At 38.4% G+C, this 27,613-nt stretch overlaps 1 protein-coding gene and 1 long non-coding RNA gene across 3 annotated transcripts in view, besides 2 other annotated features; one reads left to right on the top strand and one right to left on the bottom strand.

The window, feature by feature from the left end:
• MYHAS (myosin heavy chain gene cluster antisense RNA) overlaps positions 1-27,613 on the bottom strand; it is a 242,409-nt gene that overhangs the window by 155,554 nt on the left and 59,242 nt on the right. The window lies entirely within an intron of this gene.
• MYH4 (myosin heavy chain 4) lies at positions 428-26,724 on the top strand. 2 transcript variants are annotated; one of them, NM_017533.2, is made up of 40 exons: positions 428-450; positions 651-699; positions 3,203-3,445; positions 3,571-3,714; positions 4,389-4,545; positions 5,279-5,306; positions 5,401-5,515; positions 6,344-6,436; positions 6,586-6,649; positions 6,799-6,897; positions 7,019-7,122; positions 8,933-9,071; positions 9,666-9,784; positions 9,886-10,035; positions 10,566-10,736; positions 12,258-12,567; positions 13,432-13,502; positions 14,086-14,173; positions 14,256-14,373; positions 14,692-14,815; positions 14,910-15,046; positions 15,177-15,432; positions 16,102-16,344; positions 16,659-16,835; positions 17,055-17,200; positions 17,481-17,571; positions 17,657-18,046; positions 18,535-18,661; positions 19,092-19,210; positions 19,338-19,534; positions 20,940-21,123; positions 21,204-21,369; positions 21,467-21,591; positions 21,861-22,169; positions 22,771-22,974; positions 24,625-24,750; positions 24,841-25,011; positions 25,088-25,192; positions 25,288-25,383; positions 26,460-26,697. In NM_017533.2, the coding sequence occupies exons 3-40, from the start codon at positions 3,242-3,244 to the stop codon at positions 26,610-26,612; spliced, it is 5,820 nt and encodes a 1,939-aa protein (NP_060003.2). In that variant the 5' UTR covers positions 428-450; positions 651-699; positions 3,203-3,241; the 3' UTR covers positions 26,613-26,697. The 2 variants fall into 2 exon arrangements, with proteins under 2 accessions (NP_060003.2, XP_016880165.1); XM_017024676.2 differs by lacking the exons at positions 428-450; positions 651-699 and having other exon boundaries at positions 3,044-3,445; positions 26,460-26,724.
• Positions 18,255-19,454: an enhancer, noted in NCBI's record as "CDK7 strongly-dependent group 2 enhancer chr17:10353850-10355049 (GRCh37/hg19 assembly coordinates)". NCBI's record gives its function as "activates an origin of replication core promoter dependent on BRD2, BRD4, P300/CBP, MED14 and CDK7 cofactors, with strong dependence on CDK7, by STARR-seq in HCT116 cells {active_cell/tissue: HCT116}" and the evidence as "EXISTENCE:reporter gene assay evidence [ECO:0000049][PMID:35650434]".
• Positions 21,949-23,148: an enhancer, noted in NCBI's record as "CDK7 strongly-dependent group 2 enhancer chr17:10350156-10351355 (GRCh37/hg19 assembly coordinates)". NCBI's record gives its function as "activates an origin of replication core promoter dependent on BRD2, BRD4, P300/CBP, MED14 and CDK7 cofactors, with strong dependence on CDK7, by STARR-seq in HCT116 cells {active_cell/tissue: HCT116}" and the evidence as "EXISTENCE:reporter gene assay evidence [ECO:0000049][PMID:35650434]".

The raw sequence follows: 27,613 nt of genomic DNA, 5'->3' as shown, positions 1-27,613 counted from the left end.
CAGGTCTAAAATTCATTCCAGACTCCTTAATGGCTCTAAGAACCAACAAATTAATTAATCCTAAATTCCTCACATCAGACTCATTCTGTTGGACCAATTTTATAGGCAGAGGAGTAAGTGGGAATCTGGCTTTGAATTCTGTGATGAATGATGCAACAGCCAAACTGGAGAAACAGTGTTAGAAGCCCTGAATCCCCATCCCCTATCAAATGCCTATAAAGAACCCTAGATCATCCTCTGTTAAATTATTTATGGGTGTCAAGAAATATTTCTAATTATATCCATTCACAGCCACAGTCAGTGAATATTGTGCAAAGAGATTGCCAAAAACGGTTTTGCCAAGTAGGTTCCCAGCTAGGACAGCTGAGGTGGCTGCTGTGTTTGCAGAATGGTCTCTATAAAAGTGGAGCTGAGATGCCTCTTTCCCATCCTTCCTCAAAATTCTTGAAGGTATGTATATGTGGAAGAACACTTACTTTTACATTCCTGATGATGATGATTTTTCATTTAAGGGATGTCTACTGCTTCCCAAATTTTAATTATTCTTTCCAACATTCTTAAGGACGACATTGTAGACAATATAGTTACTAGTATTTTGTGATTAAATGGGGAAAAAAAAGCATCCCACATTCTCTTTTTTCTTTCAACAGTAGTTGTCTGCTTTGAGCCTGCCACCTTCTTCATCTGATAATACAAGAGGTAAGAATAATTTATTATTACACTCTAAAGAACAAAGGAATCTCTATATTGCTACATCTTAATGAGCTACCATTTTATTTCCTAGTTTAGTATTGGGAATAGGATATCGGGGCAGCTGTTCTTTAAAAATGCCTTCTCATAAAATTTTGACTTTTCAGGCCACTTAATCAAACAAAACTTAATGAAACTTCTCTTTCACATGTTGTTAGAACTACAGAAAGAATGCAGCCATCATATGTAATATTTAATGTGAACTACTACTCCAACTTAACCCATAAAGATATATCAGAGAGACCGCATGATAAAATCAAGGTGTGTTTATCTGGAAGTCGATATTTCTAGGTGCCAATCCAGGCTTTTCACTGATTCTATTTGCCTGGGTCAAGCCAGTTAGCCTTTATGTATCTTGAAATACAGTGTGTTGCAAGTGGAATTAACAAACCTGCATTTAGCGGAACAGGACTCATGTCCCAGTACCGCCACTTATCACCCACCACTATGACACTGAATGACCCTGAACCTTTCTAGGCCTTAGTTTCCTCATCAGTAAACGAGGAGGCTGGATTCTATTGACTGCTAAGGTCCTTCCAGCTCTTGCCAACTGTGATTGACGTCAGTGGTTTTCAAGGACTCCTCCACAGAATCAAAACATTTAATGGAACCCTGCTAATGGAGAATCAAAACTAATGGAATCCTGCTAATTGTTCATGTGGAGACATGTACTTTTAGTATGATGTTAAGGATATATATAATCATGAAAACCTATTCTACACTTAAGAATTATTTTAAATGAGTTTATATTTAACATAGCAGCTATATTCATTTAGAAAAGAACAGAAAACACTGTTCATGTGGAAATGTTCCTTCCTTAAACTTGAGGCAATGATCACTGTGTGGGTGGATTCAAGAACCCCCTGCAACAACCTGAGGCTCTATTGGGGCTTGATCCCCAAGTTGGGAAACAATTAATCTATAATAAGACAGGAGATGGGAAGGGTAGCAATCATCTTTCTGTGTTTCCTGGATACACTGCATTATAGTAACCTCCACGTGGTAGTGTGTTGTTAATTCAAGTTGCCTGGTGTAAAAACAAACACAGAAACAAAATATAATGTAATATAAATAACATTTCTTCTTCAAAGAAAAAAAACCTGACATTAAATGTTCCAATATATATCCCCTGAAAATATGTCTAAGTTTCACAGTGTCATCAGGACACTTTTACAGATAAGACTGATTTTGAAAATAGAGTATGTGGAAATTCCATAGCTAACATTTTAAGTTGAGGGAAAGTTAATGCTGATGACAAAAGATCAAGACTCTGGAAAGCCTACAGAAGGTGGTGGCTATTGCTGTTGTCGCCATCATTGCTGTCATTGTCATTGGCAACCAAGACACTTCTGCTCCACAGAGGTCACCTTCTTTTATTCTGGCCACTCACCCTGTCCTTGCCATCAGGACAGCAGGACTTATTTTATTTTCTCATAATTAATTTGTCAGTAGGGAAAATTTTTTAAGTTCATTTTGGCTTGAAACTTTATACTGGCTATCCATTTCAGAAAAATATTTAGAAGACTGGTTGGTATTTTTAAAAAGAGGAGAAGAAAGAACGAGATTATAAACCTAAGAAAATAAGAATCAGATTTTAAAATATGTTAGGTTGAAATCCAACTAAAAACAAAGAGAAATACAGATCAACACATACAATCACTATAAAATTTTATTAAAAATTAAGAAGTTCCTTTTCTCCAAGAATCTTTTAAAGTTGTTTTTGGTTTAGATACTACTTCTGACTTTCAAACAATTTCAAAACTAATAAAGGAGATTTTAATTTTAACTTAGGGCAAAATTATATGTTGGATATTCAGCTTTCATTGTAGTTATTTTTTCCTTTACTTACCTAATACCTGTCAGTTAACTAGGTGTTTATTTGTAATGATTAGATCTGGACTTATGTCCGGAAAGAACAGGTGTATCTGTCTACATTCAATTTTAGTAAATCTGACATCCAATTTTAATAATTTGGGATGAGAGGAAAATTTGCATAAAGATCTGTATTTGAGTTTTTAAGACAGGTTCATTTATATTGTAAAGCCAGTGGAAACAGTTATTGTCCATTTCTTTGTATCATCACGATGTTAAGAGGGGGAAGTTGGAAATAAGAAAGAAAAGAAAAGTAGCAAGAAAAAGAAAAAATTCTGAACATGCTTGGAGCATCACAAATGTTGCTGATTGAATGTTGATTCCTCCACATTTCTCAACTAAGGTTTACAACATAGAGGATGGAACTTAGGCTTAAAGTATCACAAAAATTAAGCTATCAACATAGTGCTTTCAAATCAATGAGCTGATCTCTCAGCTCCTTGACATAGTATACAGGAGTGGTCCCTAAAGGCAGGGGTGAGGAAACAAGCATGGAAAATTAAGCACATTAATATGAAATCAACAGAACAATTCTCCACCCCAACCCTGAATCATCATTTGGCTCTGTTTCTTCCTCTAGGTATACCTAGTCCAGTACTGCCATCAATAACCTGCAGCCATGAGTTCTGACTCTGAGATGGCCATTTTTGGGGAGGCTGCTCCTTTCCTCCGAAAGTCTGAAAAGGAGCGAATTGAAGCTCAGAACAAGCCTTTTGATGCCAAGACATCAGTCTTTGTGGTGGACCCTAAGGAGTCCTACGTGAAAGCAATAGTGCAGAGCAGGGAAGGGGGGAAGGTGACAGCCAAGACCGAAGCTGGAGCTGTGAGTAAAAACACCTGGAGCTAATTAGACTCTGCCTCATTTTGGGTTAATTTAGGTGATATTTTTTTGACCTGGCTTTTTCTGCTACTTATTTGATATGCACTTGTTTTTTCTTTTCTTAACAGACTGTAACTGTGAAAGAAGACCAAGTCTTCTCCATGAACCCTCCCAAATATGACAAGATCGAGGACATGGCCATGATGACTCACCTGCATGAGCCTGCTGTGCTGTATAACCTCAAAGAGCGTTACGCAGCCTGGATGATCTACGTGAGCACCCTTTCAACGCTATTTCTCACTCACTCCACATTCTACACATGTTAGCTAAAATAAATTAAGGGGTTTCAATACATTTGGCTATTGAACTGTTCTTTTATGACCAATTGTTTGGTTAATGTTGTAAACTCTGATATGTTTTAAAATGTACATGTGGAAAACCATTTACTTAACTGAATTAGTTGAAAAACTGGGCCGGGCGCGGTGGCTCACGCCTGTAATCCCAGCACTTTGGGAGGCCGAGGCGGGCGGATCACGAGGTCAGGAGATCGAGACCATCCCGGCTAAAACGGTGAAACCCCGTCTCTACTAAAAATACAAAAAATTAGCCGGGCGTAGTGGCGGGCACCTGTAGTCCCAGCTACTTGGGAGGCTGAGGCAGGAGAATGGCGTGAACCCGGGAGGCGGAGCTTGCAGTGAGCCGAGATCCCGCCACTGCACTCCAGCCTGGGCGACAGAGCGAGACTCCGTCTCAAAAAAAAAAAAAAAAAAAAAAGAAAAACTGAAGCATTTTGTGCAGCAGCAATGATGGAAGGAGGCAACAAATGAATGAAACTTTATGAGAACTAACACAGTACTTAGGTCCTGCTCTACTTGCCCTTAAACAGTATTTCCAAGATAGATAAACAAGGTGATTGCTGATCGAGGAACCCCGTCCTTTCCCACAGACCTACTCGGGCCTCTTCTGTGTCACCGTCAACCCCTACAAGTGGCTGCCGGTGTACAACCCTGAGGTGGTGACAGCCTACCGAGGCAAAAAGCGCCAGGAGGCCCCACCCCATATCTTCTCCATCTCTGACAATGCCTATCAGTTCATGCTAACTGGTGAGTGAGAATTACAATTTCCATAGCCATTTGTAAAATAGTTGTATACTGATATCAGAAAAAACATAGGGCTAGTATTCTGAGAATAACTGTTCAGCACAAACATGATAACAGAAATAATAAAATTAGGGAAATATATTTAGAATAAAATGTACTAGTTCCAAACATAGAAGAAGTTTTGCTTAGATTTCTATGCTAAGCACTAGTTCCAAAAATAGAGGAAATTTTGCTTAGATTTCTATGCTAAAATCCAAATTAACTAATGCTAGTTCCACCTCAAAATTAATTAAATTTAGGCATCAACTCTGCATTTGGATTATAGATAATACATAATCTCTCCTAAAAAGTAAGTTTTGAAGACTCACAGTGACAAGTTATCACAAGCACAGTACAAAACTTTAAATTGGACATTGACATAATTTTGTACTATGAACCAGGTGACTGGATGGGACACAAAATTGTTATTAATCTGATATTGATAGATTATTCTCATGGACAAAATGGTAAAATGATGCATTACATAGTCTATACATTAGAAAGGTAATGGGATTATTAATTAGCACATCTTTGATACTTATTTTTAGAAAAACCTTATGAGAAGCAAAGCACAAATTCATATAGTTATTTTTGCAAATGGGGAGTTTTAAAAGACAATTTTGAGTTTATAAGTACTGCGTTGACCTATGTGTTAAGTGTGTTTTTCTAAATATTATCTTTGGCTTCTCTTTTACAGATCGTGAAAACCAGTCAATCTTGATTACGTATGTAGATTTCGTTACTTTCTTTCTGTTTTGATCATTGTAGTGGCTACTACTACCTTAGATTCTGACCTTTTCTTCTGTTTGAACTTGATAGTGGAGAATCTGGTGCAGGGAAGACTGTGAACACGAAGCGTGTCATCCAGTACTTTGCAACAATTGCAGTTACTGGAGAGAAGAAAAAAGAGGAACCTGCCTCTGGCAAAATGCAGGTGGGCATGATATTCATCTAAGGACAGAATAACAGATTTTAAAATCTAACCACGTGCACATCAACAGTAGACTGTATACAGAAAATGTAGTACGTATACACCATGGAATACTATGCAGCCTTAAAAAAGATCAAAATCATATTTTTTGCAGCAACATGAGGAGGCCATTGTCCTAAGAGAATTAATGCAGGAACAGAAAACCAAATACAGCATGTTCTCTTATAAGTGAGAGCTAGACATTGAGCATGAATGGGCATAAAGATGGGAAGAATAGACACTGGAGACTACTAGATGGGGAAGGGTAGGAGGGAGGCAAGAGCCAAAAAACTACCTATTGGGTACTATCTATGCTCATTACCTGGATGACAGGATCATCCATACCCTAAATCTCAGTATCATGCAATATACCCATGTACAAACTTGCACATGTATCCCCTGAATCCAAAATAAAGGTTAATTTTTTTAACTGACTGTGGTGCTTCAAAATCATAGCAGCCAATTGCAAGTGATGCCAGAATTTGGAAAATAACTCTTGGAAGAGCTCATGAGAATGAGATGAATAGGGCAATGTATTGGCAAGTATAATAGGCAAAAATTCTCACAATCATTTTTTAGGTGCTTTTCTGGGCCTGGGGGATGCAGAAATCAAGACCACATCACTGGAGTGTCCCACTCCCCTTCCCGATTTACCTTCTTTTTAACTCATTTTAGAAAGCCTTTCCCAAAGTTACAGAATACTGTGCAGGGGCAATGGGGAAGGGAAAGAGGTCAATGGGAAATTATTTACTGCAACTTTTTTCTTTGTCTGTCTTATTCATTTCTCTTAAGGGGACCCTTGAAGATCAAATCATCAGTGCTAACCCCCTACTGGAAGCCTTCGGCAATGCCAAGACCGTGAGGAATGACAACTCCTCTCGCTTTGTAAGTCTCTTGATCTTCATTTTCTTGAGGATCAGCACTGATTCTTGTGTGCATGTGGTGTCAATATTTTTTCCACCTGTTTGGTCCACAGCTAAAGAAATAGTTTCTGATTTTAATGTGTATAATAATCCCTCCTTTTCTTTTTTAAGGGTAAATTCATCAGGATCCATTTTGGTGCCACAGGCAAACTGGCTTCTGCAGATATTGAAACATGTAAGTTAATAAATATTAGTGATTGAGAATCTTTTTCTTTGTGGGTACATATTAGAAAATCTTGTACTTATTTCTGTTGTGTGAAATTTTCAAACACTTAATTTTTCACTGTGGCATCTTCTTTTAAATGAGCTTAATCTGACTTCCAGATCTGCTAGAGAAGTCCCGAGTTACTTTTCAGCTAAAGGCTGAAAGAAGCTACCACATATTTTATCAAATCCTGTCCAATAAGAAACCAGAGCTCATTGGTAAGACACATCTTTGATTTATTTCTACCAAAGAATAACAGCCCTTCTAAGAAGCCTCTCTGAAATGTTTTTGATGACCAAAGCAATGCTGTCTATATACTGTTCTTTTCCATGTGTTCAGAAATGCTTCTGATCACCACCAACCCATATGACTTCGCATTTGTCAGCCAAGGGGAAATTACTGTGCCCAGCATTGATGACCAGGAAGAGCTGATGGCCACAGATGTAAGTAATAGGTACAAAGTAGTAAAAAGTAAATTCATTTTCCAGTGTACAACACTCTCCTCTATTAGGGTGGAAAGCAGTGGCAGAAAGACTATAAATAGGTAATACAACCCTTTGGGCTTTCTTACTTTTGGAAAAAAATTGTAGGATATTTCAATACCCTCCCCCTACATGTGTTAAAAAGCTTTCACTGCCTGTAATAAATGTTGGGTCTTTAGTATTCCTTAGCTAGTAGGCTCCTTTCATTCTATCTTTCTTATTAGTCATTTTTGGTTGATATTTATGCTCCAATATTAATGTTTCTCTGCTATTTTATGCCACACCTCACACCCAAGATTCTGGGAAGGAGCTGCAATATTATTACAACTAAACATGGAACTCCCACTGTTCTTCTACAGTCACATGTAAACATAAGCCTTATTTTGAATAAACCTCTGTGGGCCAATGATATATCCCTCTCTACTCCCTAAGCAGCATTAGAAGAAGTGGGTTGTCTACTTCAAAAACACTCATTTTGGGGACTCCATAAGCCTTTATATTTATTTTTGAAACAACGCACTCTCTCCCCACCATCACCTCTTTTTTAAGGATTATTGCTTTTTGGCTTACTTTCTTTATATGTAAACTTTATGTATATTTCATGCTTTCTTTTGATTTCTGAATAATCTTCCTTATTTTTAACTTTAATATCAGTGGGACTATCCCAATACCCCCAAGTTAGAGTTGACAGTGCTTGCAAAACTGCTTTTTCTATTAAAATATTATTTTCAAGAAGTCAATAATTCATTTGTGTGGCTTTATATTATAAATATCAGCTTTAACTCTCTATAACTTATTATTATCTTTGTATGTCCAAAAGTGATAGGGAGTTAAGAAACACACCCTGGTCTGCGAGGTTAAAAAAATGTAGCAGTCTTGCTCTAAGACTTCCGTAATAATGTCTAGTTTCTGTAAATAGGTAGAGTTAGTGAGCTGGAAGTGGAAGTCAATAATCTGGGGAAAGAGTCTTAGGTAAGAATGGTAAATAAACATATTTTCCTCTGCCTGCTCTGAATCCTGCCCCCATTTATAAGCCTTTTCAAAGCCTATGTGGGCAACTAAAAAGGTAATCAAAATTCGATAGAGAAAAAAGACACAGAAATATTATACTAAATGGCAAAATTCCTTCTTTTCATAAATGTCTCTTCTCTGCATGAGAAATAAATAACTAGGTAAAGTTTGCTACCCCAGGCATCTCGTGGTCGCTGAGCTGTGGCTTGCTATCAGAGAGGCATGTGGAGAAAGACTCACAACCATTGCTGTTCTCCTCATACCCTCTTTCCAACTTTATCACTCATGCCCATTAGCAGGGGAAGGTAGACTGGGATTATGCATTAGGATAGGACAAATAGGAGAAGAAGGAGCAACAGAGAGACTCGTGAGACTGGAGAAAAGAAACAAAAATAGCCAAAAGACCAAGAGGAGCATGTGCCTGAGAAGCAAAGGGGGGCTGGGGTGGAGAAAAGGGGCAAAGCACTGGCCTTGGCATCAAAAGTCATGGCTCTTAGTCCTGGTTCAGTGAGTGTGGACAAGTCACATCATATGCTGTGACCAAATGGACTCATGACTCAAATGGAAAGACTGATGCATACCTCTTCGTGTTGCCATGTGGATCAAAAGGTAAAGCATATGAGTACCTTTTGAAGATGGCAAAGTGCTAGTCAAATATAAGGCAAGGCGTGATGAGAAAAAAGTGGGAGACAGCCCCGGTGTTCTGAGGGATTCTTCCATGGTGCTAATTGGGGATGAGCAAATTCAACTCTTTTGACAGAGTGCTGTGGACATCCTGGGTTTCACTGCTGATGAAAAGGTGGCCATTTACAAGCTCACTGGAGCCGTGATGCATTATGGGAACATGAAATTCAAGCAAAAGCAAAGGGAAGAGCAGGCAGAGCCAGATGGCACGGAAGGTACCACCCCCTGTTGGTATCTTCCACTTGACAAAGCTGACATAGTGAACTTTTCAGAGGCAGGGACCGTGTTTTTACTTTCTCTGACCTAGCTCGTGAAGGGCAAAAGTATTACGAGAAGGAAATTACACACTGCCTGACGTTTTACATTATTTAGCAGATTTGTGATTTCTGCTCATTCCATTATTCATTGGCTTTTCATAAGCTCATATTTGCTATTTGACTAAAACATATTTTATTTCAGGATAATCTGTGTGCCCACAGGCACTGAAAGAAACAGAGATCTGAATATTTCTGTCACTACTCCTCTAGGTTAGGGTTTCTCAAATTATTTTTATCTGTGGTCTACTTTTGCCAGGTTAAATATCACAGACAGCATCGATTCCCCAACCTCCAATTTATCATCACAAGAAATGACTAAAATTAGTGCAAGTGGTGGCAATGCTTTTGAGGCAATATGAACAAATGAAAAGGTTTCAATGACATTTGCACATCTTACTTTTTGAGTGAAACCTTTTTTCTTTGTCATCATCATTTACATTTTAAATTGTGTAAGCCATGGTCAGTTTCACCATTCTCACCTTGTTCACACAGTTGCTGACAAAGCTGCTTATCTGACAAGTCTGAACTCTGCTGACCTGCTCAAATCTCTCTGCTATCCCAGAGTCAAGGTCGGCAATGAGTTCGTAACCAAAGGCCAGACTGTGCAGCAGGTAAACATGACTTAAATTGTCTGATTTATTTGAACCGCAAGTGACTCAGGAGTTCATCACTGTTTTCAATTTAAAAAACTAAACTATCACTTCTGTTGAAGGTGTACAATGCAGTGGGTGCTCTGGCCAAAGCCATCTACGAGAAGATGTTCCTGTGGATGGTCACCCGCATCAACCAGCAGCTGGACACCAAGCAGCCCAGGCAGTACTTCATCGGGGTCTTGGACATTGCTGGCTTTGAGATCTTTGATGTGAGTAGTGAACTGACAGAAAATTAGCCAGTGCAAATCCTCTTGTTAGAGCATACAAAATCACATTTACAAAATGTACCTTACAAAATATACAAATGTAATTCCTACTGAAAGGAGTCTTTGAAAAGATATGAAAAGTAAATAGGTATAAATAGGAAAAGAGAAAATTCTATTCTTTTGAGTCTAGAAGTCTCAAAAGTTGATCCCTGAGAGGTTAAAATAGTCAAAATCTATCCTGGATCCAAGCAGATGAGCATGAGAACACCTTTTTAAAATTACTCTAAGGAAATATTTCAGAGTCCTCATTTAACAGTATTTTGCCTAGTATGCATGATCTCATGCAGTTACTTGGAAAATAAGTATTCAAAGAATCAATTCTACTTTGTTTAGAACTATATAATAGGAAAACAATCTGAAGGTTTATAATTTAATAAACCAAAATGCCTTAAATTCAGAAGAAAATACTAATAGATACTCTGTAGATAGAATACTTGTTATGCGTAATTTCCTATATTTATCTTGTTCTGTAGTTCAACAGCCTGGAGCAGCTGTGCATCAACTTCACCAACGAGAAACTGCAACAGTTTTTCAACCACCACATGTTCGTGCTGGAGCAGGAAGAGTACAAGAAGGAAGGCATCGAGTGGGAGTTCATTGACTTCGGGATGGACCTGGCTGCCTGCATCGAGCTCATCGAGAAGGTTCATATGACTTTTCTAGCTTTCAAAACATGAAAACCAAATTGCTTGCCTCCCTGTGCTTAATCACACTCCCTGTTCTCAAAGAACAAGCAGTGCTGTTTCCTGACACACTCGTATATTCTGATTGGTTGTGAGGTATGTTCCAAGTGATCTGTTATTAATAAGTAGAGCAGTTTGTAGAAAAATGTTTATCACTCACACACATATGGATTCGCATTTATCCCTCTAAAAACTTAATTCTCCCTCACTTTTCTTCCTACACTATTTCATGCATATGGGAGAAAGGGATGAAATTACAGCTATTCCTCTGGGTTGTGTAATTAACCCTGGTGTACCCATGACAGTGTATTGTGCATTTATCATCATCCCTCATGTGTAACAAGGCAGGCTATGTCAACACGTCTTAAAGATTGGAAGGTTAGTCCTTCAACTGTTGCAGTCATTAAGTCTTTCCCCGTTCATGATAACTACTGAATAAACACCAAACCTCTGTATCACTTACCTAGAAAATGGGCCCTGAATTCCCCATTACTAAGGGGGTGAAGCAATAGTTACATCAGATCTAGATATGTTAACACTCATCAAGCAATCGTTAAACACTTCCAAAAGTATCTTGGGAGCTTGTCATATACTTATTGATATCAATAAAGTGTATGTGTGAACCCTACCCTAAGCAGTGGGAAAGGAAGCGTAAATGCAATTGCCACCTAGGAAAACTTAAAATACTCAGGTTAAAATTCACAAAAATATGAAAGATAAGAGTTTAAAAGCAGACTAGGTCTGCACAATTTGGGGAAAAGATACGTTAATCTGGTGATATAATATCTCTACTATTCATGAAAACTTTATGGTCTTCAGAAAAGGCATTTATTTTATTCTCTAGTATTTCAGTTTCTGTATCACCAAAATAGTCTTAGGGGTACAATTTGTGAATTTGTTAAATCATCAATGTTGAATTTTCTTTCAGTCTTTCCTATCAAATACATTAAGAAAAAAGCCAAACTCTTAGAAAGCAAAACCAAATTACTATCACTTAACTCCACAGTGGTAGAGAATATAGGTTAAAGTACAGAATTTTAATGATACAATATAAGATGCAATTTCCTCCTAGGAATGGATCATTTTTAGTCCTTACACATAATCTCTCTTCCCTTCATACTTCTGTCACCTCTAGATTCGAGGTAAAGGAAGTTATATTGTCAGTAGGAAAGAAAGTAGTCAGATATATACATTTATGGAATAAAGAATTCAATTTTGAAGTGATGTTTTCAGAATCTGATTTTATACACTGAACATAAAGTGTGCCAAATAGTTCAGATGTATTTTTTTTAACTGAGTCTTTCTAGCAAGTATATTTCCCATATGTTCTGGGTACATAATGACTGCTTCACATGTCATGCCTATTTAATTTATCATTCAAAGTCTTCTTTTGAAACATTGTATTTTCAGTTTTCCATCAATTACATGGAGCATAACTTTCTGAGGGACTCATCATTATCATCCCTTTTTTCCTATTCTTAGCCTATGGGCATCTTCTCCATCCTAGAAGAGGAGTGCATGTTCCCCAAGGCAACAGACACCTCCTTCAAGAACAAGCTGTATGAACAACATCTTGGAAAATCCAACAACTTCCAGAAGCCCAAGCCTGCCAAAGGCAAGCCTGAGGCTCACTTCTCACTGGTGCACTATGCCGGCACCGTGGACTACAACATCGCCGGCTGGCTGGACAAAAACAAGGACCCCCTGAATGAGACTGTGGTGGGGCTGTACCAGAAGTCTGCAATGAAGACTCTGGCTTTCCTCTTCTCTGGGGCACAAACTGCTGAAGCAGGTCATGTTTAATAGCACTAATATGTTACAAGAGTCACAAAATAGATATACACTGTTCAACAGAGACAAATGTAGTTACAGCAAAACCTGACACAAAAACACTGGCCAATACATGCCTAATGAAAGAAAGTGTATTTAATAACTGTGATACAGTCTTACAGTCACAGACTTTCAGAGCTAAGTGACACTATGGAGCATTTAGCCCACAGCCTGATTTCACTCATGAGAAAACAAGAATCTCAGAGAGGTTAAGTGATTTGCTCAGGATCATAAAACTCATTTCTATCATTTTAATAGTATTGGTTCTTTCAAGGTTCTCCAGCTAGGCTGGAGATAAGGAAATCCTTTGTCAGGGCCCTAGTGCTTGGGGAACTGAAGTTCTGTTCTCTTAAGTGTTCTAAGACCAGATGTGCAAGTAACACCATGGAAGCACAGGCAAATGGGAGCCAGGATTTCCCTGCAGGTGAGCAGAGGCTCACCTACCTGGGACCAAGTGTGCAACTCTGCCTGTTGTCCAAGTGAGGCCTGCACTAACAAGGCATTACTACTCTGTCTCCTTGGCCCTTCCTTCAGAGAACAGACATTGCTGACTTGGAGTAGGGGAGTCCCATCCCCTACCCACATCTACCCCTTACACTCACAATTCTTTTGTTGTTGGTTTTTTCATGAATGACTATAAAGTCAGCCAAATCTTAGACTTTCTTAATCTACAATTGAGGGAGGAGAGATATGGAAAGAATAGGAATGATGCAAGTGAATGAGTGCAAATTTAAATTCTAAAGGGAATTTTGGCAGTCCTGATGTTTATGGATAGTACTTAAAAGGCAGTTGCAAATAACTTTATTTTTCCCATTTTGTTTTTTAGAGGGTGGTGGTGGAAAGAAAGGTGGCAAAAAGAAGGGTTCTTCTTTCCAGACAGTGTCAGCTCTTTTCAGGGTACAGTATATTCTTGAATTACAGATAAATACTTTCATTAAAAAACTAAACCATCAAAACAGAAAATTTTTTAAAAGATATTTATGGTGAAAGTGAATAAAGTAGTACAGTATACTTTTTAGTATACTACTAAAGGTTTTGTAAACTTTTTAAATGGCTTAGGAAAAAAAATTAGCACAAAAAAACAAACTACATATCTCTTCACATCAATCTTTATGATACGTGAACCATTGCCCCTGAGCCCTACATCCAAGAGATCTGGTATTGTACAAATTTCACATGAAATCAAATGCTCTTTTAAAAATAACCACTGTATTCAATTACATCTCCTTCATGTGACAAAAATCGCAATACAAAGTTTCTCTGACTGGTGGTGCTTGAGAATAACAAACTGAAATTAACTGATTTTGTGTAATCTGTAATTTCCTACCTGTGCTCCACTTATATGATTCCTCTCTGTTATGATAATTTGTTTTTCCTTGAGACAGCTCATTAAAATGTGAAATGAAAGACAAATATTGATAGGGACTCTCATGTCGATGCAACTAGAAATGATTTTAAAACTTTTCATATGGTTCCACAGGAGAATTTGAATAAGCTGATGACCAACTTGAGGAGCACTCACCCCCACTTTGTGCGGTGCATCATCCCCAATGAAACTAAAACTCCTGGTAAGACATTTCTGATATCCAGACAAGCTCCAGTGTGTGTGCGATAGACCACGAAGTATGGCATGTGGATTCATTCTCTTAGGTGCCATGGAGCATGAGCTTGTCCTGCATCAGCTGAGGTGTAACGGTGTGCTGGAAGGCATCCGCATCTGCAGGAAAGGCTTCCCAAGCAGAATCCTTTATGCAGACTTCAAACAGAGGTTTGTGTCTCATTATTTTTCCCTTCCAATGTCTTAGTCTACACAAAATCACTATATAATTCCAACATTTTTAAACTTTTCCTTGAAAAATGACATGCAATTATTTGAAAATTGATCATAAAAGAAAGAAGCTTAGGTTTATATTATCATAAGTTTTTCATCATATCTTCCGAAGTTTTAAATAAAGCACTGACTTTTTAAATGGCATTTTGTTCACCAAAACTTAATCTATCATCTTTTCAATGATAGCTACCAAATGTTCTACTGTTTTTTTCAGTGAAGAAAAACCACATTTTTATATTCTTTTTATTCTGACAGATACAAGGTTCTAAATGCGAGTGCTATCCCAGAGGGTCAGTTCATTGACAGCAAGAAGGCTTCTGAGAAACTTCTAGGGTCTATTGAAATTGACCACACCCAGTACAAATTCGGTCATACCAAGGTATCACCAGTCCAAATTTCTATCTGTCATAATTCTATCACTTTTAGACTTTCCTGTAAGTGGAAATAACATATTTAACTTGTTCTTTCATAAGGTTTTCTTCAAAGCTGGCCTGCTGGGAACTCTAGAGGAAATGCGAGATGAAAAGCTAGCTCAACTCATCACGCGCACTCAAGCCATATGCAGAGGGTTCCTGATGAGAGTGGAGTTCAGAAAGATGATGGAGAGGAGGTGAGAGCCCACACACAAGTCTTCCTGCTCCACACTTTCATAAATGAATCCACTGCAGTCATTACTTTTGTTGAGTGATGATCACTTTCCACATTATTCTCCATTTGCATCTTTTTTTCTTTTCCTACAGAGAGTCCATCTTCTGCATTCAGTACAACATCCGTGCTTTCATGAATGTGAAGCACTGGCCCTGGATGAAGCTGTATTTCAAGATCAAGCCCCTCCTCAAGAGTGCAGAGACAGAGAAGGAGATGGCCAACATGAAGGAAGAATTTGAGAAAACCAAAGAAGAGCTGGCTAAGACAGAGGCAAAAAGGAAAGAACTAGAAGAAAAGATGGTGACGCTAATGCAAGAGAAAAATGACTTACAACTCCAAGTTCAAGCTGTAAGTATTATACATTGCAGTTCAGCCACATCTTATTACTTTTAACGTTTTAAAATGAATGGTTTCCACTGAAACATTTGTTCTGATTGTTTGCTGTTCAAAAACACCAAGACTCGGGCATAAAGAAGCAATAGATGCAAAGTCACATATCATGCTGCACACGTTCATATGTGCATTCACACACAGTTTGGTCATCAGTGAGCAAATTCATAAAAATATCAATAGACATTTTCCTTTATTTATGGAACTTTCTCTCAGATCAGATTATTCTTTCTTTAGTGTATTTTTGTGCATAAAATAGAAGTTATGTTGTTTTTATCAGGGCAGAGAAATGGCTAAGTTAATCCCCTCTTAAATGTGAGAAAACTGAGTCCTACAATGAACAAGCGATTTTTCCAAAGTTGCAAAGGTTAGTAAAGTGGCAGATTTTTGCCAAAGGGCTAGTTTTCCTGATTTGGCCTGCCACACATGAATATCTGAAGGAAATTTGTTATTATACTTGATCAGTAGATAACAGTATTAACATTTTGTCTGTTTCATTTTAAAAGTTAGCAACTGGTATACATGTTGACCAAACAGGTAGTCACTGAAATTTCCACCTTATAATAAATTATTGTGTGCTTATAGATATAGCTCAGACAAATGAAAATGCTTAATTTCTCCCTTTAGGAAGCAGATGCCTTGGCTGATGCAGAGGAAAGATGTGATCAGTTGATTAAAACCAAAATCCAACTTGAGGCCAAAATCAAAGAGGTAACTGAAAGAGCTGAGGATGAGGAAGAGATCAATGCTGAGCTGACAGCCAAGAAGAGGAAACTGGAGGATGAATGTTCAGAGCTCAAGAAAGACATTGATGACCTTGAGCTGACACTGGCCAAGGTTGAGAAGGAGAAACATGCCACAGAGAACAAGGTACAAATCATGATCCATTTTAGAATATTTATAAGCACCTTGATACTGAAGTATTTTAATTAAAAATTTAATCTTAAGATGATTGAATATAAAAAATACCACTGTCATAACTATTTCATCTCTTTAGTCTTCACCACCTCAATGTACTTACTTGACCTTTACCTCCTATTTTTTCAGCCATTATAGGCCTGGGTTAGCTCCTGGTTCTCATTTTCCATCTTACGCTGACATTATCCTAAGATACTACAGCATCATGTTTTTCATCAAGATAATACGTTGTCATTGACATTCTGGTCATCTGTTCTAATCTAAAGGTGAAAAACCTCACAGAAGAGATGGCAGGTCTGGATGAAACCATTGCTAAGCTGACCAAGGAGAAGAAGGCTCTCCAGGAGGCCCACCAGCAGACCCTGGATGACCTGCAGATGGAGGAGGACAAAGTCAACACCCTGACCAAAGCTAAAACCAAGCTAGAACAGCAAGTGGACGATGTAAGTGTGAAAAAGAAAATGTTTCCCCTTGCAATGAAATAAACAATTGTGACATGAAACCAGCACTGATAGTCATAAGCCTTTAACGCTTGGTCTGTGAATAAAGTTCTTGTGCTATTTGTTGTATCTTTAAATTTTTTTCTTATGTATCTTTGAAGGCTACTAGCATAGGGTTCAGTGCTTAAGAGCTGAAATAAATAAAATGCATCATAAATTTAGCTTGAAGGATCTCTGGAACAAGAAAAGAAACTTTGCATGGACTTAGAAAGAGCCAAGAGAAAACTGGAGGGTGACCTAAAATTGGCCCAAGAATCCACAATGGATACAGAAAATGACAAACAGCAACTTAATGAGAAACTCAAAAAGTAAGTATGGTATAATTCAGCTATAACCTGCTTGTTGTATGTCAATGCAAATGAAACATACGCTAAAAAGATCTCCAAAATGTTACATCATGACATATGGAAAAAAATAATGACATCTTTGACCTTTTTATTTAATTAAACTAATACAATTATTAATCTGTAAAACATTGTACTACTCACTCCTTCAACACCAGCAGTATAAAAAAAGTCTTAGATTATACATAGAAAAGAAGATTGGTAAGAGAAGTGATTATAAGCTAATGTGTTGCTCTTCTAATAGGAAAGAGTTTGAAATGAGCAATCTGCAAGGCAAGATTGAAGATGAACAAGCCCTTGCAATACAGCTACAAAAGAAGATCAAAGAATTACAGGTAAGTTATAACCTCCACCTTTTCTGGGCATTACAGGAAACAAAACTGACATAAATTCACATTAATGTTGACATATCACAACCAGGCCCGCATTGAGGAGCTGGAGGAGGAAATCGAGGCAGAGCGGGCCTCCCGGGCCAAAGCAGAGAAGCAGCGCTCTGACCTCTCCCGGGAGCTGGAGGAGATCAGTGAGAGGCTGGAAGAAGCCGGTGGGGCCACTTCAGCCCAGATTGAGATGAACAAGAAGCGGGAGGCTGAGTTCCAGAAAATGCGCAGGGACCTGGAAGAGTCCACCCTGCAGCACGAAGCCACGGCAGCTGCTCTTCGGAAGAAGCACGCAGATAGTGTGGCTGAGCTTGGGGAGCAGATTGACAGCCTTCAGCGGGTCAAGCAGAAGCTGGAGAAGGAAAAGAGTGAGCTGAAGATGGAGATCAATGACCTTGCTAGTAACATGGAGACTGTCTCCAAAGCCAAGGTCTTCATTAACTTGTGCCCTTTTCATCTTTATTTGCAACAATTCAAAATGACCAAGTTTATATATGACTATTTTTAGCCAAATTACACAAACATTAGATGGCATCTGAAGCTTAAACTTACTCCTAGTACACATTATTGTATTGAATCACTTAAGTTCTCTTAACTTCTTTGTAGAAAACACTTTAACCTTTGATACTATTACCATGAAAAAAAATGTAATTACAAAAAAGGTTTATCTAAAAACCATACTCTAAATGATGCAGAATTTAAATGATGTTCACACTTTCAAAGAGAATATAATTTTGATAATCATGTGTTCATTATTTAGCCAAATTAAATGCCTCTACTACTTTATAGCCACCATGCAAGATTGATAGAAAAGTAAATAAAAATCAGCCCCTTTCCACAGGTAGTTACAGATCTCTAAATCCCAGCCTCTAGAATAAAAATGTATTGTCTCTTCCTGTTTTCTACCTCTCACCCCAGGCAAACTTTGAGAAAATGTGCCGCACCCTAGAGGACCAGCTTAGTGAAATAAAAACAAAGGAAGAAGAGCAACAACGCTTAATAAATGAGTTGTCAGCCCAGAAGGCACGTTTACACACAGAATCAGGTCAGTAAATAAATAGCATCAACCTTCGGAGAGGTGACGAATGAAAGACAAGCCTTTACCTACCTATCAAATACAAGTAATTTCTCAAGCTCTGTACATTCATTTATCATGTCTTACTTATTCCTCCATCTTTTTATTATGAGACAGTAAAATGCAATGATTCTAAGCGACAATTGGGGAAAAGAATTAAGCTCCCTGGGCTCAGGAGATTTTTTGTGACTCAGCATTACTCAAAAGTTCTCGAATTCTAAAATATCAAAGAAAACTCATACATTTTTTAAAAAGCAAGAAATAACCTTCTCAACATCACTGAAAATCTTGAGGGGTTTTTTCATCATATGAAATAAGAGGGTTACAATGTTATTCCATTCTTTAAATTATTGTTTACCTAGACAACAGAACTAAATCATTGATGTTTTGTCTTCCACAGGTGAGTTTTCACGACAGCTAGATGAAAAAGATGCTATGGTTTCTCAGCTATCCCGAGGCAAACAAGCATTTACACAACAGATTGAAGAATTAAAGAGGCAGCTAGAAGAGGAGACTAAGGTGAGAATTCTCCAGCTGATACTTTCAATCACTTGAACCGTGCAACATAACACACTATTGAACTTTGCATAGAGAATTTCAATGATCAGAAGATAAACTTATATCACATAGTTTTTGGTTGGTCTAGGCCAAGAGCACTCTGGCCCATGCCCTGCAGTCAGCCCGCCATGACTGTGACCTGCTGCGGGAACAGTATGAGGAGGAGCAGGAAGCCAAGGCTGAGCTGCAGAGGGGAATGTCCAAGGCCAACAGTGAGGTTGCCCAGTGGAGGACCAAGTACGAGACGGACGCCATCCAGCGCACAGAGGAGCTGGAGGAGGCCAAGTATGTGCTTTTAGTGCAGGGGAGCAGGAAGAAATAAAAGTAAAGGCAGTGAAGGAAAAATAGAAGAAAGAGAATATTCCGGGCTTGGGGACACATGAAAGACTTCAGCTTATTTTATTATAGGTTGGTGGATTCCACCATATTCTTCTTCTTAAAGCCCAGTGTATGTCCACTGGAGAATGGAATGAGACCAGATCCCTCCACCCATTCTTGTCCAGAAGCATCTTAAATTTCTTTCCACCAAGATGGATTATTAATTATCAGAATATTATTTATGAATTAAATAGAATTAGTATCTTTTAATAGAAGGAAAAATTGAGACATTGAGACTCTCTGGTAAATTATTATGAGTATTACAATTAACAATAATCAGTTTTTCCTCAGATGGAGTATTGAATGTTTATATTAAGGTTGTCATATGCTGTCATTATTTCAACTAACAACCTATATCAATGGATGTATTCACTAATTACACGTACTGTTTGCGGACTACAAGTCATGAGATTTACAGATTTACACATAGAAGGAAAAAAAGCATTATACTCCTAGTGAAAGAAGCCTTTCTAAATTTAATTTATCTCAGTAGTTGTTAGAATTAAACAGGATGAAAGAGTTTGTAGCAAGCATTTCCAGAGAGAGTTCTAGATAAGAGTGTGGGCTGGGAAAGGTCATGAATTACATAGGTTGGTGAAGAGTAGTAGACAAGATTTTAGAGGAAATTTGGGAAATGCAATAATGCAGTAATATTTATTATCAAAGGCCACCAAATCCAGAAAGTTACTGATTCATTGTATGACCTTGAACATATCACTCTGGGCCGCAGTTTCCTCATTTGCAAAATAAACAGAACCATACTAGAAAATGCTTAAAGATACTACTCAATGCTACCATTCCTTGGTGATATGCTTCCTGTTCATGGTTGCCATTTCTTCCTCAAAGTAAATAAAACTCAGCCCTTTTCCACAAGTAGTTACAGATCTCTAAATCCCAGGTTTCAAAAGAGAAATGTACTGTCTCTTCCTGTTTTCTACTTCTCACCCCAGGCAAAGTTCAAGAAAATGTGCCACACTATAGAGGGCCAGCTTAGTGAAATAAAAACAAAGAAAGAGGAGCAAATTTTCACATTGCTCACTCAGCTCTAGTGCTAACTTATATTCTCTTTCTCTCATACACACACATACACACACACAGGTGCTTCGTAAATATGTTTGGCAATACCTGAGATGGATAAAAATAAGAACTCAACAGGGAAAACAGAATTCTAAGAGAGTGAAAATGTTTAGAAAAATTCAACAACTTGTAGACAACTCTTGGGGAAATATGCTTTCCTAGTCAGCAGCTTTATAAAGGGCACTGTGGTGACTCTGAGTCTGCTCTTGGTCACTCATACTGACCCAATTTTCAGGAAGAAGCTAGCCCAGCGTCTGCAGGATGCAGAAGAACATGTAGAAGCTGTGAATTCCAAATGTGCTTCTCTTGAAAAGACAAAGCAGAGGCTACAGAATGAAGTAGAGGACCTCATGATTGATGTGGAACGATCTAATGCTGCCTGCATAGCTCTCGATAAGAAGCAAAGAAACTTTGACAAGGTGGTCCACAGTACCAGCTCCCCTTGGGGGAAACTGACATCATTCTTGGTTTCAAAGGCTTATTTTCTATATACTTCCAGGTTCTGGCAGAATGGAAACAGAAGTATGAGGAAACTCAGGCTGAACTTGAGGCCTCCCAGAAGGAGTCGCGTTCTCTCAGCACTGAGCTGTTCAAGGTGAAGAATGCCTACGAGGAATCCCTGGATCATCTTGAAACTCTAAAGCGAGAGAATAAGAACTTACAACGTGAGTCACTGTAATCATTCTATTTCAAAAATGGTAGGGAGACATCTTTTCAATTTTTCTTTCTACTTAACTGAAATTTGGTACTTTATTATTACAGAGGAGATTTCTGACCTGACAGAGCAAATTGCAGAGGGTGGAAAGCATATCCATGAACTGGAGAAAGTAAAGAAACAACTTGATCATGAGAAGAGTGAACTACAGACTTCCCTAGAGGAAGCAGAGGTACATTTTTCATTTGCTTAGCTCTGCATTATAAATAAATTGAAAATTAATAGCAACTGAGATCTCTATCATGTTGCAAATCTTTAGGGAATAACACAAGTAATTCAGTGAAAAATACTGAATTGTACCTTGAGAATGCAGAGCTAATAGGCTACATTAAGACGTATGATAGTTTATGGGTTTTTTAATGCCTTCTTGGGGAAATTATCATAATGTGAAAGAAATAAAAAGCTCTTTAGGTAACCTAAATAAATGTTGCTTTTATTAAGGCATCTCTTGAGCATGAAGAAGGCAAAATTCTTCGCATTCAACTTGAGCTAAATCAGGTGAAATCTGAGATTGACCGAAAAATTGCTGAAAAAGATGAAGAACTCGATCAGCTAAAGAGGAACCATCTCAGAGTTGTGGAGTCAATGCAGAGTACACTGGATGCTGAGATCAGGAGCAGAAATGATGCTCTGAGGATCAAGAAGAAGATGGAGGGAGATCTTAATGAAATGGAAATCCAGCTGAACCATGCCAACCGCCAGGCTGCTGAGGCACTAAGGAATCTTAGAAACACACAAGGAATACTGAAGGTATGCTGGGGTAAATACACATAGTGTTGTACAGTCTCAGTGCTACTGTGTAACTCAAATTTTAATGTTTTACGAGGACTATGTGTCATAAATCACCTAAGCAACATGGTAATCAGTTCAAAGTTCAAAGTTATACACACACAACTGAAAAAGAGCTTAATTCTGGAAGGCCCAGGACAGAGTTTGCTTTGTTATCTGCAGAGAAGCACTGTGGTGAGGGGTAGGGAGATAGAGGAAGTGATGAAAGAGTTTGGCTACATGCCACTGCTTAAATCACTTCATTAATCTGGACTTCATTTGCTTAATATGTAAAATAGCACCACTGGACTCGCTGAAGTCTAAGGATACTTTCCTGATCCAAAATTTTGTAGAGCTAGCCATGGTATTTTTTAATGATTCAGGGTCTAAAATAATAAAACATCATGTTCTTTTGAGTAGAACTGCAACCCTCAGCTACAAAGAATTTATTATTAAAGGTACTTGCCGATTGCTCCTATCTAATCATACTCTAAGTCATTAAGATCAAAGAGTGTACATGACCATAAGTTTGCATTTGCTTTAAGTGCAGCATGAGTAAGAGGCTTTTTCTCTTTCTGTGTAGGACACTCAGCTACATTTGGATGATGCCATCAGAGGCCAAGATGACCTTAAGGAACAACTGGCAATGGTTGAGCGCAGAGCTAACCTGATGCAGGCTGAAGTTGAAGAGCTCAGGGCATCCCTGGAACGGACTGAGAGAGGCAGGAAAATGGCAGAGCAAGAGCTTCTGGATGCCAGTGAACGTGTGCAACTTCTGCACACTCAGGTGAGGTTCAAGACTATGGTTTAGAAAATGTACTCCCTGAAGCTGAAGATAATTTGAGAAGATAAGCTTGTTTATAAAGTAAAAAGTAATCTTCGTCCCTTCCTGGAGCTCTGGAAAATGTACAGGGTGCTGTAAGGATTTACTGGGACCTAGCTGGTTCACGAGTATATTTATGGGCTGGCATAATCATGTTGAGTTGAAATAATCTGGAATTCTAGAAACTTTTATTTAAAAAGCACAGAAGACCATCTACAAATAAACATACACACAACATTTGTAGCTGTCTTGTCTTATGCAACTCTAAGCTACAAAAAGATAGGCAAATAAAATAGAGGAGAAAAACAAAAAGCCACTAAATAATATTTACGTATCACATATGCACAGAATGCTAACCTCATGGGATACAAAGAGAAGCTCTTTAGTTCAAATTCATGGAGGCCATTATTAATACTAGTTAGCATTTGTTGTATATAGTGAATTTGTTAAATAAATGGTGGTATATCCTCACAATGGCTAATATGTAACCACTGTAGTATGAATTTATTGCCATGGGAAGATGTTTATATTATAGTAAGTTAAAAAAGCAACTTAAAAATAATATAGGCTGTGTGATCTTTTTTCCCGTATAAACATATAGGAAACATCCAGAAAGATAAATAAAAGTTTATCCTTTATCTCTGGTGAGAGCACAGTAATTATTTTTTGTTTCTTGTCTGCTAATTTGTATGTTCTACTATCTTTTACAATAAATATATAGTACTGTATACTTCAGAAAGTTGCACTATATAAACATAACTATTATAGAAGTGTTAAAATTGCATGCTTTATATAATTTTAAAATCAAATTAATATGCAACATTTTTCTTATTAACAGTATCTGAAGTTGACTATTCCAAACACCATCAACTTGCCAAAAACAGAAGGGATTCTTGGCTCATTTTTATCCCAACAAGACTACTATTTTTTTTTTTTTTTTTTTTTTTTTGAGAAGGGGTCTCACTCTGTCACCCAGGCTGGAGTGCAGTGGTGCGATCTCGGCTCACAGCAAGCTCCGACTCCCATGTTCACGCCATTCTCCTGCCTCAGCCTCCCGAGTAGCTGGGACTACAGGCGCCCACCACCACACTCGACTAATTTTTTGTATTTTTAGTAGAGACGGGGTTTCACCGTGTTAGCCAGGATGGTCTCGATCTCCTGACCCCGTGATCTGCCCACCTCGGCCTCCCAAAGTGCTGGGATTACAGGCATGAGCCACTGCGCCCAGCCAACAAGACAACTATTTATGCATTTATAAATATGGAGTCAACCAACATGAGTTAATAGCTAAAAATTACTGATTCATTTTAAATGAGCTGTGGTGTGGTGCTCCATGGTACAGCACTTTGAGTTTTGTGGGCTGTGTTTCATGCTTACAAATGGCAATGGTAATAGTTGAATATGTTTGACATCAAAAATTAAATTTAGAAGTTTGATTAAAGAGCTATATATAGAAAGGAGAAAAGGCATAAACTTAGAATTATCTTCTAATTTGGTTTTTATTCTAAACATTTCTTATGATCAATAATTTTTGCCTGTGTACACTAGGTAAAATGACAATGTGAGTTGTTATAAGTAAATGTGCTTCTCTTCTCTTTCATTAATTTGAAACAGAACACCAGCCTGATCAACACCAAGAAGAAGCTGGAAACAGACATTTCCCAAATCCAGGGAGAGATGGAGGACATCGTCCAGGAAGCCCGCAATGCAGAGGAGAAGGCCAAGAAGGCCATCACTGATGTAAGCAAGATGAGCATTTGTCTTACTGACACATGCATGCTGCCTGCTATCATCAGAATTCATTATTTTCAAAATTTATTTGCTAACTAGGCTGCCATGATGGCTGAGGAGCTGAAGAAGGAACAGGACACCAGCGCCCACCTGGAGCGGATGAAGAAGAACATGGAGCAGACCGTGAAGGATCTGCAGCTCCGTCTGGATGAGGCTGAGCAGCTGGCGCTGAAGGGTGGGAAGAAGCAGATCCAGAAACTGGAGGCCAGGGTAGGTCTCCACAACTTCACTCAATTCCTTGTGGCCAGTTACAGCCAAACTGGTAAACGTCTTTGTTCCCTTCCAGGTGAGAGAGCTTGAAAGTGAGGTGGAAAGTGAACAGAAGCACAATGTTGAGGCTGTCAAGGGTCTTCGCAAACATGAGAGAAGAGTGAAGGAACTCACTTACCAGGTGACCAGTGTTTTCATATCTTCCAGGCCTATAGTTTTCAAGAAAATCATGAGTTGTTTTAAAATAATGGCACCATCTACTTGCACCTCTTTCAGACTGAGGAGGACCGCAAGAATATTCTCAGGCTGCAGGACTTGGTGGACAAATTGCAAACCAAAGTCAAAGCTTACAAGAGACAAGCTGAAGAGGCTGTGAGTATCTCCACAGTGGAAATGAAAGGTTCAGATGCACATCCAGGTTTTTTGGGGCCTAAAGTTTATAGAATTTAGGGGGTTTTCTTTAAATTGGGAATACATAATTAGGTATGAACATGAATATTTAGAATGAGAAAAATGAACCATAAATTACTGGAGCCTTATAGATTTGAGTTTATTTCTTCTGAGACCTCTTTAAGCAATTTTCCAGACATGTTAACATACAAATGTTTCTTAGTTGCAATCCACTTCCCTCCCTATCTAGAACATTCTACAACCCCCAGCACTCATATGGACCTGTGCAAATGAGAGTATGAATTCTAAGCTTCATTTAACTTCATGATAAATCCATCTTGGGACTTTTTTTTTCAATTTGGCTGCAGTTATCTTTTTCATTCTGTTAATTCTGAAACCTTCCTTAGGGTTCTTGGCACCAAATGCCACTACTGCACCTATTTTTTAAAGTTTCTTTTTTAGAAACAAGATTGAATTCAGATCCCTGCTACTTTGTTCTTCCAGTTATCACTGCAGCCTCTTCAGTTTGCCAGAAAGAGAGTCAAGTGAGAGAGAGACTTGAGGAGGGTCATAAGCACATTCATTTACATAGGCGAGTTTGTGGGATGCCTTGCTCTCAAATAACTATGTTACTAAATAATAAAGCCTTTTTCTCTTCTTTTTTTTTTTTTCGAGGCAGAGTTTTGCTCTTGTTGCCCAGGCTGGAGTGCAATGGCACAATCTCAGCTCACTGCAATCTCTGCCTCCTGGGTCCAAGAGATTCTCCTGCCTCAGCCTCCTGAGTAGCTGGAATTACAGGCATCCACCACTACGCTGGGCTAATTTTAGTAAAGATGGGGGTTTCACCATGTTGGCCAGGCTGGTCTCGAATTCCTGACCTCAGGTGATCCACCCGCCTCAGTCTCCCAGAGTGCTGGGATTACAGGTGTGAGCCACCATGCCTGGACAACGGAGCCTTTTTCTTTCTCATTCATGAGGCAAATCCTGAAGTAACAAAAGCAATAACAATCAGGAAATGTCCAATTTTCTTGTTATCTCAAATGCATCTCTGTTCTCAGGAGGAACAATCCAATGTCAACCTTGCCAAGTTCCGCAAGCTCCAGCACGAGCTGGAGGAGGCCAAGGAACGGGCTGACATTGCTGAGTCCCAAGTCAACAAGCTGAGAGTGAAGAGTCGGGAGGTTCACACAAAAGTCATAAGTGAAGAGTAATTCATTCTAATGAAAGAAAATGTGACCAAAGAAATGCACGAAATGTGAAGTTCTTTGTCACTGTCCTGTATATCAAGGAAATAAAATCTTTAGATAATTTTGCATCTAAAAATACATTTGTCTCTTAATTATAAGCTCTTTAGTGCTATTAGAACTAATTCCTTTATTCAACATTTGTGGAGTTCCTAATATGTGCAATCAGAGATAATAACAAAAATGAATGTAGGCAGTGAACCCAACTTTAATGGAAGGTAAATGAAATAAGGTGCTCTGAGAAGACATGAAGGTGACAAACGCACTCTCAATTCCATTCAACCAATTTTACTGAGTATCAACTATATGTCTGGTACAGAAATGGACACGAAAGATGTGACAGTTATCCCTGTCTTTGAGAAGTTCAATCCAGTGTGGAAGACGGCAGTTCAAAAAGATATACGCTGTATGTATGTGCAACATACATACTCTGACATGAGTGTGAAAAACAAATGTGGCAATAACATAGAGTGAGCTGCTAACTTTGGAAATCCAGAAAGGCTTCTCAAAGGAGACTATGAGCTGATTCCTAAAAGAGGACCAGACAGTTATCAGGTGAAAGAGAAAAAAAATTATGATCATTCTAAGAAAAGAAAACAAGCATGAGATTTCAGCATAGTTTTAGCACAGGCTTCATGAGCAAAGGGGAGCAGATGAGGCCAGATATGGAAGATAAGGCCTGATTGTGAAGGGTATGTCCTCATATGTAGTGCTAAGGAACAAGGACACACATCAAATTGGTCCAATTTCTTGAAGAGGAGAATTGACACAATTATGGCAGCAGTATGGAGGAATGAGTAAGGTGGGAAAGATCAAAGCCTTCAAAGACTGTTTAGGAGGCTATTAAAATGGTCAAAATTAGAGATGATGGTGATGGAAATAAACAAGAATGCAGAAGGAAAGCACAGTTCTAACACAGTATAAAGAAAAGGGCTTGAAAGAATGGAAGAAGTTAAACAGTTTCACAG

This window comes from Homo sapiens, chromosome 17, assembly GCF_000001405.40.
Source record: "Homo sapiens chromosome 17, GRCh38.p14 Primary Assembly".
Classification (NCBI taxonomy): domain Eukaryota; kingdom Metazoa; phylum Chordata; class Mammalia; order Primates; family Hominidae; genus Homo; species Homo sapiens.
The sequence above is the reverse complement of the archived record's forward strand: the minus strand, read 5'-3'. Positions and strand labels throughout refer to the sequence as shown.